The 12205-nt window shown below is 43.3% G+C and overlaps 2 annotated features.

Annotated features, from left to right (window-relative positions):
* Nucleotides 575-1075: an enhancer, noted in NCBI's record as "H3K27ac hESC enhancer chr12:79906977-79907477 (GRCh37/hg19 assembly coordinates)". NCBI's record gives its function as "activates a minimal SCP1, AML or CMV promoter by ChIP-STARR-seq in primed H9 embryonic stem cells {active_cell/tissue: H9 hESC(primed)}" and the evidence as "EXISTENCE:reporter gene assay evidence [ECO:0000049][PMID:30033119]".
* Nucleotides 1076-1576: an enhancer, noted in NCBI's record as "H3K27ac hESC enhancer chr12:79906476-79906976 (GRCh37/hg19 assembly coordinates)". NCBI's record gives its function as "activates a minimal SCP1, AML or CMV promoter by ChIP-STARR-seq in primed H9 embryonic stem cells {active_cell/tissue: H9 hESC(primed)}" and the evidence as "EXISTENCE:reporter gene assay evidence [ECO:0000049][PMID:30033119]".

The following is a 12205-nucleotide window of genomic DNA, read 5'->3' as shown; positions in this document are numbered from 1 at the left end:
TTTGGGCTGGTGGCTCTTGCCTGTAATCCCAGCACTTTGGGAGGCCGAGGCCCGTGGATCAGGAGGTCAGGAGATCGAGACCATCCTGGCTAACACAGTGAAACCCCATCTCCACTAAAAATACAAAAAGATTAGCCGGGCGTGGTGGCAGGCGCCTGTAATCCCAGCTACTCGGGAGGCTGAGGCAGGAGAATGGCGTGAACCTGGGAGGCGGAGCTTGCAGTGAGCCGAGATTGTGCCACTGCACTCCAGCCTGGGTGACAGAGTGAAACTCTGTCTCAAAAAAAAAAAAAAAGGAATTCCCAAAGGAGACAAGAGAGGGAAAGGCATAGAGAGGGAGGGAGAGAGAGAAAGAAAAAATGAAAGGGAGGGAAGGAAGAAGAGGGAAGGAGAGGCTGAGCTGCAGAGGGGTCCTAAGTATTGATTTGTACATGTGTGAGAAAAAAATTCTCCAAGACCAGAATAACAACCATCAGAAAGGAGTAGGAACAATCGTGGCTGGAGCTCAAGGCTAGGAATAGTTCATCTGCCCACCAGACATAGTGGAAAGATTTCATTATATACAACACATTGGGAAGAAACCTCTAGAGTGTTATCTTAGTATTGGAATTAAATTAGCCTTTGATTGGCCGGGTGTGGTGGCTCATGCCTGTTATCCTAGAACTTTGGGAGGTCAAGGCGAGTGGATCACCTGAGGGCAGGAGTTCGAGACCAGCCTGGCCAACATGGTGAAACCCTGTCTCTACTAAAAGTACAAAAATTAGCTGGGCGTGATGGTGAGTGCCTGTAATCTCAGCTACTCAGGAGGCTGAGGCACGAGAATTGCTTCAACCTGGGAGGTGGAGGTTGCAGTGAGCCAAGATTGTGCCACTGTACTCCAGCCTGGGCAACAGAGCAAGACTCCATCTCAAAAAAAGAAAAATAAAAAAAAAAAGCCAGGTGCGATGGCTCAGGCTGGGAGCGGTGGCTCACACCTGTAATCCCAGCACTTTGGGAGGCTGAGGCAGGCAGATCACGAGGTCAAGAGATCGAGGCCATCCTGGCCAACATGGTGAAAACTCATCTCTACTAAAAATACAAAAATTAGCTTGGCATGGTGGCACATGCCTGTAGTCCCAGCTACTCAGGAGGCTGAGGCAGGAGAATCGCTTGAACCCGGGAGGGGGAGGTTGCAGTGAGCCCAGATCACGCCACTGCACTCCAGCCTGGCGACAGAGCGAGACTGCCAAAAAAAGAAAAAGAAATCACAGAGTACAAGAAGCCTTAAAAAAAAACAACAGAGCATCATGATCTGTGGGACAATATCAAGCAGTCAAAACTACATGTAATTGGATTCCCAGGAAAAGAGGGAGAGGGGAGAGAAAAATATTTGAAAAAAAAAAAAAGACTCAAAATTTTGCAAAATTGATGAAACTATAAACCTATAGATATGAGAAGCATGACAAACACCAAACATAAGAAACACGAATGAAGCCACATCAACTCATAATAAAATTGCTGAAAAGTGGTAGTGATGAGAAAAATCTTAAAAGCAGCCAGGAAAAAAAAAAGAAAAGACACATTAGAAAAAAAAAAAAAACAAAGATATGGGAAGGAGTCACAGAATAGTCCGAAGGGGAGAAACCGGACTGAAACCCACTCAGTCCTGGCCCAGGGTGCCTCACCTGGATGATACTTCCAGCTCAGGCTGTTCCCAGTCCTGGGAGAGAGCTTAGGACATTTCAGAGAGGAGATTCTGATGACCATAATCATGTTAGACCAGGTCCAGACTTGAAGTGCCCTGCATGGAAGACACTGTCTCTGGGCAGTTCGAGACACCAGGTTTAGAAAATGTCAAGGAAGATGCTCCAAAGCACAGGGATCCCGGAGTGGCATGACCCAGGAGAAAAGCCTCACTTGCCCTGGTCTAAAGGCATTACTGCTTCCTCCCTTTCTTCCCAGGGAAATACCTAAAATTATAGTTTAAAGATGTCAGAGCGTCCATCAAACTGAAGGAAAGCATGCAACAGCGCCCCCATCTTGCAGCTCTCACTCATCCTTGCGGCTGATTGCACATGATACAAGTGGGAGAAAGAAGCGTCTATTGTATTAAACCAATGAGATTTCAGGATGTGTTTGTTACAGCAGCTACCCAATAATTTCCACAACTATTCATCCCAGCTCCTCCATGTTTTAATTACCTGTGAACTTGGATAACCTCCAGAAGGGCTGCATTCTGCAAGGTAGAGGTCTTTTTCTGCACATTCTTTTGAGTATTCTCCATCAATCCAGTGCCGTGTGATTTTTATAGTTAAAACATTTCACAACATTCCTACTCTGCTGGTGGCACTTTGTTCTATTTTCTTAAAATCATGCCTGTCGTTTTTGGGATTTGAGGTTCAGAGAATAATTAGATTTGTGTATTTAATTCACCATCTTGACACAGGCACCCTCTCTCATTGTGTTTTAATTTGCACTTTTGATTCTTTGTAAGCCTACATTTTTTCCGTGTTCTTTTACTAATCATTCCCTAATTTGTTAATTTGCCACTCATACTCTTTGCTTCTTTATTCATTGTAATATTCATTTTAAAGTAAAATACTGCTCAGCTGCATGCAAATTTATAATTCTAAAACATTCCCTGTGCATTCCTGTTTTCCTATATGTATTCATGTCAGTCCATGTGTTCAGTGATTCCCTGCCCTATTCTTGTTTAACTTGGTCCTTCACAGCCGGGCGCAGTGGCTCACGCCTGTAATCCCAGCACTTTGGGAGGCCAAGGTGGGAGGTTCACGAGGTCAGGAGATCGAGACCATCTTGGCTAACACGGTGAAACCCCGTCTCTACTAAAAATACAAAAAATTAGCCGGGCGTGACGGCGGGCGCCTGTAGTCCCAGCTACTCGGGAGGCTGAGGCAGGAGAATGGCATGAACCCGGGAGGCGGAGCTTGCAGTGAGCCGAGATGGTGCCACTGCACTCTAGCCTGGGCGACAGAGCGAGACTCCGTCTCATAAAAAAAAAAAATAAAAAATAAAAAAAAATTGGATCCTTCACAACATCTCTAAAAAGACTTCCAATGCAGTTGCAGAGCCAGTCTTCAGTTATTGTTCCTCTAATAATTTTTTATAATGGGTAATATTTATCGTGTACTTACTCTTGCCAGACTTCATAAGAAGCATTTTACATACATTATCATATTTAATCCTTACAACATCCTTGTGCAGTAGGTACATTTCTTACGTCCATTTTACAGTTGAGGAAACTGAGGCATAGACAGGTTGCATAACATGCCTCAAGTCACAGAGATGAAGTGGATGGAACAGGGATTCAAGCCTATTCTGTTTACAGAGTTCTTGGCATGGCACTCTATTTATTTATTTATTTATTTATTTATTTATTTATTTATTTTGAGATGGAGTCTCGCTCTGTCACCCATGCTGGAGTGCAGTGGGGCGATATGGGCTCATTGCAAGCTCCGCCTCCCGGGTTCATGCCATTCTCCTGCCTCAGCCTCCCGAGTAGCTGGGACTACAGGTGCCCGCCATCACGCCCGGCTAATTTTTCGTATTTTTAGTAGAGACGGGGTTTCACCTTGTTAGCCAGGATGGTCTCGATCTCCTGACCTCGTGATCCGCCCGCCTTGGCCTCCCAAAGTGCTGGGATTACAGGCGTGAGCCACAGCGCCCGGCCTAGCACTCTATTTATTATGTTGGATTCATGTAGTCATTTTGGCTGTGTCACTTCGATGTAGAATACTTAGTCTATGTATCATTATTTTTTTCCTGTATTTGTTTTATATTTCCTTTTCTGTTATAAACTTTTTAAAGTTACATACTTTTGCCATATAAATGTTTTTTGTATTCTTAGCATAAATCTCAGTGATAACAAATAATAGGCACTCAATAGAGTTTGTTAAACTTATTAATTGCTCAGAATATATTTTGAGTCAATTAATTACTTACCTAAAGGAGATTGCTTTTGCACGCAAAGCTAAGAGGCACATTCTTTGTAATTTATTTGAGGTGACTCTTGCCAAAGATTAAGTATTTCCCTCTTTGATCTTTCTCTCTTTATGGCAGGTTATTTAGAAGGCTTTTAAGTGACAGCCTCAGCATTCCATAGAATTCCATTTGCAATTATGAAGAACTAATATGCATGCAAATTTCAAGAATTGGGCTTGATTTCCTTGGCTTTTTTTTTTTTTTTTTTTTTTTAAATGAAGTTTTGCTCTGTTGCCCAGGCTGGAGTGCAGTGGCATGATCTTGGCTCACCACAACCTCTATCTCCCAGGTTCAAGCGATTATCCTGCCTTGGCCCCCCAAGTAGCTGAGATTACAAGTGCACACCACCATACTCGGCTAATTTTTGTATTTTTAATAGAGATGGGGTTTTGCCATGTTGGCCAGGCTGGTCTTGAACTCCTGACCTCAATGATCCGCCCGCCTCTGCCTCCCAAAGTGCTGCATTACAGGCGTGAGCCACCTGTCCCGGCCTCCTTGGCCCTTTTTCAATCAGGTGAAACTTCCTAAATGAGCCTGGATTCTGTCTCATCACTTTTCCACAGCTAAAAATGTCAAAGTCTCTATAGTTACCTTTGAAAATCGCAAGGCAATTTGCCGTAACTGCAAAGCAACTCATCTTCAATAGAACTTGGAGAGTGGTTTGGATTATTGCCTTTCCATTCTTGTGTAGACTTATAGAATTCAATTTTATCTCTCATCCCAGCCAGTGAATCTGTGTCTAAAGAAGAGAAAAAGATGGCAATTCCATCAAGATGATGATAATACTTAGCAATTTAAATCCCCTTCATTTTACCTCATATTTTAGAGCTATCAATTTCCCAGCATTCCCAAGTCTGGTTGTGCTGGGAACTGGAATGAAGTCAAATTTTCTCCATGAAAAGAGACAAAGTAGAAGTTACAGATATGTATCTGGTTTCTGGCATCCCAACTTCAAGAGTATAATACTTAAGGGTGGTGATAGTTTTACAAAGGGTAAAATAAAATTCTCACCAGAAAATTTATTTTCATGTATTTAATTATGAATGGGAACATATTATAATTTGTAGGAGATGATTGCTAAAAAATAAAAAAATAATGGTTTTAGATTTTTTGATCAATATTTTGGTTTAGAAAAATCATTGCAGGCCACTTGTATTTTTATTTCTAATTGCTTTTCTACAAAGTTTGCAGTGTAGAACATATAAATATAAGTATTTTTTATTGATTAGGTACACCCTACCTACTTTCAAGAAGGGCTTGAGGTGATAGTCAATAAAAGTATAAGAATAATAAATCCAAAACATAATCAACTAATTGCAAAGATAAAAAATTATGTAAAATGTTATAAATGTGACTGTTGGTTAGGAATGTGTTTGTTAAAATTGAAAGAAGACTTAGCTTAGATAAGAAAGAAGCTTATTTTTCTGAAACAAAAAGAAGTTCTGGAGACTTGGCAGCTCAATAACGCCATCAGGTGCCAGGCTGTTTCCATCTTCCTGCTCTATTCGCTTTAGAGGGTGGATTTCAATCTCATAGTTGCAAAATGCTGGCTGTACCTCAGGCATCATGACTGTGTTCCAGGTAGGATAAAGTGACAGAGACAAAAGGCAAAATGGACACATCAATAGAATTAGTACCTCTTGAATTTCTTTCCTATAAACTGTAGGCTCATTACTTCAGCTTAACTCTAATTTGCTAAAACTTGGTCACAAGATCATAAGGAGATCTAAGTTAGATGAGTGTTTTTAGCTGAGCACATTTCCTCATTGAACAAAACGGATTTGTTTTGTTTTGTAAAGACAGGTAGAAAAATGGATATAAAATCTAATGTATGCTCCTGCTTCTCTAGTTCTTTTAAATGTGACGTTAAGGTGTCGATTTTAGATCTTTCCTGCTTTCTCTTGTCGGCATTTAGTGCTATAAATGTGTCCCAGAGATTCTGGTACATTGTGTCTTTGTTCTCATTGGTTTCAAAGAACATCTTTATTTATGCCCTCATTTAGTTATTTACCCAGTAGTCATTCAGGAGCATGTTGTTCAGTTTCAATGCAGTCGTGCGGTTTTGAGTGAGTTTCTTAATCCTGAGTTCTAATTTGATGGCCCTGTAGTCTGAGAGACTGTTTGTTATTATTTCCATTCTTTTGCATTTGAAAGCTAGCAGAAGGCAAGAAATAACTAAGATTAGAGCAGAACTGAGGGAGATAGAGTTACGAAAACCCCTTCAAAAAGTAATGAATCCAGGAGCTGGTTTTTTGAAAAGATCAGCAAAAGAGATAGACCACTAGCCAGACTAATAAAGAAGAAAAGAGAGAAGAATCAAATAGATGCAATAAAAAATGATAAAGCGATATCACCACCAATCCCACAAAAATACAAACTACTATCAGAGAATATATAAACACCTCTACACAAATAAACTAGAAAATCTAGAAGAAATGGATAAGTTCCTGGACACATACACCCTCTCAAGACTAAACCAGGAAGAAGCCGAATCCCTGAATACACCAATAACAAGTTCTGAAATTGAGGCAGCAATTAATAGCCTACCAACCAAAAAAAGTCCAGGACCATACAGATTCACATCCAAATTCTACCAGAGATACAAAGTGGAGCTGGTACCATTCCTTCTGAAATTATTCCAAACCATAGAAAAAGAGGGAATCCTTCCTAACTCATTTTATGAGGACAACATCATCCTGATACCAAAACCTGGCAGAGACACAACAACAAAAAAGAAAATTTCAGGCCAGTATCCCTGATGAACATCGATGCAAAAATCCTCAATAAAATACTGGCAAACCGAATCCAGCAGCACATCAAAAAGTTTATCCACCACAATCAAGTCGGCTTCATCCCGGGGATGCAAGGCTGATTCAACATATGCAAATCAATAAACGTAATTCATCACATAAACAGAACCAATGACAAAAACCACATGATTATCTCAATAGGTGCAGAAAAGGCCTTTGACAAAACTGAACAGCCTTTCGTGCTAAAAACTCTGAATAAACTAGGTATTGATGGAACATATCTCAAAATAATAAGAGCTATTTAAGAGAAACCCACAGCCAATATCATACTGAATGGGCAAAAGCTGGAAGCATTCCCTTTGAAAACTGGCACAAGACGAGGATGCCCTCTGTCACCACTCCTATTGAACATAGTATTGGAAGTTCTGGCCAGGGCAATCAGGCAAGAGAAAGAAATAAAGGGTATTCAATTAGGAAAAGATGAAATCAAATTGTCACTGTTTGCAGATGACGTGATTGTATATTTAGAAAACCCCATCGTCTCAGCCCAAAATCTCCTTAAGCTAAGCAACTTCAGCAAAGTCTCAGGATACAAAATCAATGTGCAAAAATCACAAACATTCGTATACACCAATAACAGACAAACAGCCAGATTATGAGTGAACTCCCATTCACAATTGCTACAAAGAGAATAAAATACCTAGGAATACAACTTCAAGTTATGTGAAGGACCTCTTCAAGGAGAACTACAAACCACTACTCAAGGAAATAAGAGAGGACACAAACAAATGGAAGAACATTCCATGCTCATGGATAGGAAGAATCAATATCGTGAAAATGGCCATACTGCCCAAAGTAATTCATAGATTCAATCCTATCCCCATCAAGCTACCATTGACTTTCTCCACAGAATTGGAAAAAACTACTTTAAATTTCACATGGAACCAAAAAAGAGCCCGCATAGCCAAGGCAATCCTAAGCAAAAAGAACAAAACTGGAGGCATCATGCTACCTGACTTCAAAACTATACTACAAGGCTACAGTAACCAAAACAGCATGGTACTGGTACCAAAACAGATATATAGACCAATGGAACAGAACAGAGGCCTTAGAAATAACACCTTTTGATTGGTTTCTGTCATTCTCCTGCATCTCAGTAACCTTCATTCCTATTCATATTCTGAATTCTATTTCTGTCATTTCAGCCAGCTCAGCCTGGTTAAAAATCTTTACTGGAGAGCTGATGCAGTCGTTTGGAGGACATATGGCACTCTGGACATTTGAGCTACTGGAGTTCTTGCATTGGTTCTTTCTCATCTCTGCATGTGGGTGTTCCTTTAACTGCAGTATACATTGAGTACAATCAATAAACTTCTTTTCTGGATGTTTTCACAGGGCTGAGGCTTTGTGCAGGGTCTTTATTTGTAGCTAATTTATTGTATTTGCTTTCACAGGGGCATAGTTAGCAAGGTATTTTGGTGTTGAAGCTTTGCAGTGTAATCTAGTAGGTGGTGCTTAGGCATATTGGTCAGTTGGTAGGCTCTTGCTCAGTTGTGTGGCTCCCCTATATTTCCTCACAGTTGCCACTATGCTCCCTCTCAATGCTCTGAAATTATGGACTCCTCTCCCACTTGAGTGCTGGTTGTAGATCATGGCTTGGTGCTCCTGGTCCTGTCTACCACAGCTCTGGGAAAACCTCAGGGTTTATTTTCCTTCCCCAACTTGGAGGCAGCAGATGAAGGGACCTTAGTGGTGGTTGTGGCCAAGGGTGTTTTGTTTGTTTCCTGAGGGCTCCACCTCGGAGAGATGAAGGTCAGAAGTTGCTCAGTGCAATCATCCCAGGATAGAGCATGTGTGCTGTGGGCCCAAGCCAGGGATTTCCTATCTGGTGATGAAAGGGTGGTGGTGGGATGGTACCTGTGTAAGGTGGACTGGCCTCCTTTCCTTGGGTTGACTGCAGCTTATTGGAGGTGTGGTTAAGGCACTTACAGTCTTTGCTTTTTCATTAGTCCAAGAGTAGCAAGGGCAGTTTCACTACAGGGGTAATGGCAGAGAATCTTTCAGTTGCCCCTGGGGGCTCCACTTCCAAGACACTTGGAGTGGCTATTGCTGGGAGTGTTAAGCTAGTGTGGCAGGGTGGCTGCACTGCTCATGTGAGCTTGGGGTTCTGCTTGTTGAGGAGCAGGGGGTCAAATGTTCACAGGGAGGAGATTGATCTCCTCTTTGTGTGGTGGCTGTGCTGTGCTGTGCTGTAAACTTCGGTGTAGTCCTCAGGTTCTTTGTTTCTTTCCCAGATCAAGGGCAGGAGGGATAGAACTGTTACTGTGGCAGTGGCAGAGGGGCTGTTGTATGCCTCCGGGAGCCTCTCCTGGGGGAAACTCTGAGCCACTACCAGTGAGTATGCTCAGTTATGAGTGGAGTGACTGTTCTGCACTCATGAGCTGGGGATCCTGCCTGGTGAAGAGTGGGGGTGGGGGTTCCCAGCAAAGAGAGGCTGGACCCCTGTCTCTATGGTGGCTGCAGTGTGCTGGAGGTGCCAGTGTAATGACTAGGACCTTTGTTCCTTCCCAGTTCGAGGGCTGTAACAGCTGTACCTCTGAAAACGTGGTGGTGGAGCGGTTGTGGGTTGACTTAGATTTCCTCCTTGGAGAAATGCTGGGCTGTCTCTGATTGTGGTGATCAGGTGGAGACAGGGTGATTGTTCTGGAGTCCCAGGTCAGGCCACCCTGCTCAGTGAGGAGAAGTAAGGACTGGGATCTGCATGGAGAACAGTCTGGCCACTTTTCTGAGAGGCGGTTGCTTTGTGCTGGGAGTCCGTATCAGTCTCTGGTGCCTGCAGACTCTCCCAAGCCTGGAGACAGCAAGGGCAAGGGCTGCAAGACAGTGAAGATGGCAACCCACGCCTCCCATCCTGGAGTTGTGTCCAGGAAGTTGCAGAGCTGCTACTGGATTGTTAGTTTCGGCAGGGGGTGGCTGGAGGCCCAGGCCTGGAGGACCTTCTTGGTGAGAAGATATGGGAATGGGCTTCCACTTAACAGTCTGGCCACTTCTCCGTAGGGCTGCTGTGGCATGCTGGGGGTCTGCTCCAGTCTCTAGTTACCTTGGATTTTCCAGTACCTGAGATATCAACAGTAAAGGCTGTGAAGTGGCAAAGATGGTGGCCTGCTCCTCCCTCTGGGAGCTCTGTCCCAGGGAAGTATGGGCCTGTTGCCAGCCTGAATGCACTTGTAAGAGGTGGCTGGAGACCCCATTCGGGAGGTGTCACCAGTAAGGAAGAATGTTATTGGTGACCTGCTTTAAAAAGCAGTTTGGGGCCGGGTGCAGTGGCTCACATCTGTAATCCCAGCACATTGGGAGACCAAGGAGGGCAGATCACGAGGTCAGGAGTTCGAGGCCAGCCTGGCCAACATGGTGAAACCCCATCTCTACTAACAATACAAAAATTAACTGGGCGTGGTGGTGGTGCACACCTGTAGTCCTAGCTACTCAGGCGGCTGAGGCAGGAGAATTGCTTGAACCTGGGGGGCGGAGCTTGTAGTGAGCTGAGATCGTGCCACTGCACTCCAGCCTGGGCAACAGAGCGACTGTCTCAAAAAAAAAAAAAAAAGCAGTTTGGCCACATTCTTGTAGGACAGCTGTGTTGCTCTGGGGCTCTGCTCCAGCTCCTGGTTGTCTCTGACTCTCCAAAGCCCGAAGGTAAGAATGGCTAAGTCAGCCAAACATCAAAGATGGCAGCCTGCCCCTTCCTCTGGGAGCTTCATTCCAGGGAGGTCTGAAACCTCTGTTGGCCAGAAAACGATGGGTAGCTGGAGACCCCAGTCTGGAGGTTCCACCCAGTGGGGAGGAATGGGATCAGGGACCCACTTAAAACAGCAGTCTGGTCACATTTTCGTAGAGCAGCTATACTGTGCGGAGGTTCTGCCCCAAACCCCAGTTGCCTCAGACTTTCCAAAACCAGAAGGCAAGAATGGCTAAGTTGGCTAAACAGCAAAGATGGTGACCCACCCCTCCCTCTGTCTCAGGGAGGTTAACACTGCTAATGTTAATGGTGCTAATGTTAATGTTAATGGTTAATGGTTAATGGTTAATGGTGGCTGACTGGAGTTCCAAGTCAGTGGATCTTATCCTGCAAAGTGCCGTGGAAGCGGGACCTTTAGCCTGTCACTGCTCAGTCTTCTGGATTCAGTCCCTTTTTCCAGGGGTACGTATGGGGGTCTACGTACCCCTTTGCCAGAGTTGCAGCTGCTTTTGCCAAGAAGCCTGGGTGTCTAAGTTTCTTGGGGCTCTGCATGTGCCTGAGTGGCTGCTCTGCTGAGACTCCACATAATTCTGTGTGTCAGACTGAAGACCCTTGTGGAGTGAGTTCATGAAGGTACGTCCTCATTCGAGGGTTGCAAAGATCCATGGGAGAAGTATGGTTTCCCAGGGCTGCTTACTCACTCACCACTTCCCTGGACAGTGTAGGTTCCCCCTGCTCCACACTGCTCCCAAGTGGGTGGTCACCCTGCCTTGCTTTTCTCCATTCTGTATGGGTTGAGTTGTATCCTTGATTAATCCCATTGCACATACCTGGATATTTCAATTGAAGGTGCTGTTTTTACTCACCCCTTCCATTTCTCTTCACGACAGTGGTGCACAGCAGCTGCTTATAGTCAGCCATCTTGGCCACAATCCCCTGAGTGAGTTCTTACTCTGTTAATTCTCTTTTTGTTATTTTGTTGTTGTTCTTGTTTGTCTGTATCCTGCTGAATAACTCTATTAATTCTTATGAGAACTAACTGTTAGAAAGAGCCTGGCATCTCCTCCTCTCTCTGTTTCCTTCACTCTCACCATGTAATATGTGCTCCCCTTCCCCGTCCTCCATGATTGGAAGCTTCTTGAGGTTGTTAACAGAAGCAGAGGCTGGTATCATGCTTCCTGCACAGTCTGCAGGACAGTGAGTCAAATAAACCCTTTTTATTTATAAAATACTCAGCTTTAGGTATTCCTCTATAGCAATGCAAACAAACTAAGACAAATGCTTACATAAAAAAGTAGAAAGATTCCAAATAAACATTCTAAAAATGGACCAAAACGAATGAGAAAAGCAAGAAGAAGCCAAACCCAAACTAATAGAAGGAAGGAAATAATAAGGATCAGGTCAGAACACACTGAAACAGACTAAAAATCAATATAAAGGATCAACAAAATGAAAAGTTGGTTCTTTGAAAAGGTAAACTAAATTAATAAACCAGTTGTGAGACTAGCCAAGAAAAAAAGAGAGAAGACTCCCTCCTCCAAAAAAAATCAGAAACGAAAAAGGAAACATTACAACTGATACCATAGAAATACAAAACATCAGAACATTGCATACCTGTATCAAAACATCTCATGTGCTCCATCAATATATATACATATCATGTACCCACAAGAATTAAAAAAAATATATAATCAGAGACTATTATGAACAACTATACACTAACAAACTGGAAAAC

This window comes from Homo sapiens, chromosome 12 (genome assembly GCF_000001405.40).
Source record: "Homo sapiens chromosome 12, GRCh38.p14 Primary Assembly".
Taxonomy (NCBI): domain Eukaryota; kingdom Metazoa; phylum Chordata; class Mammalia; order Primates; family Hominidae; genus Homo; species Homo sapiens.
Note: the sequence above shows the minus strand (reverse complement) of the source record. Positions and strands in the feature narration are given on the sequence as shown.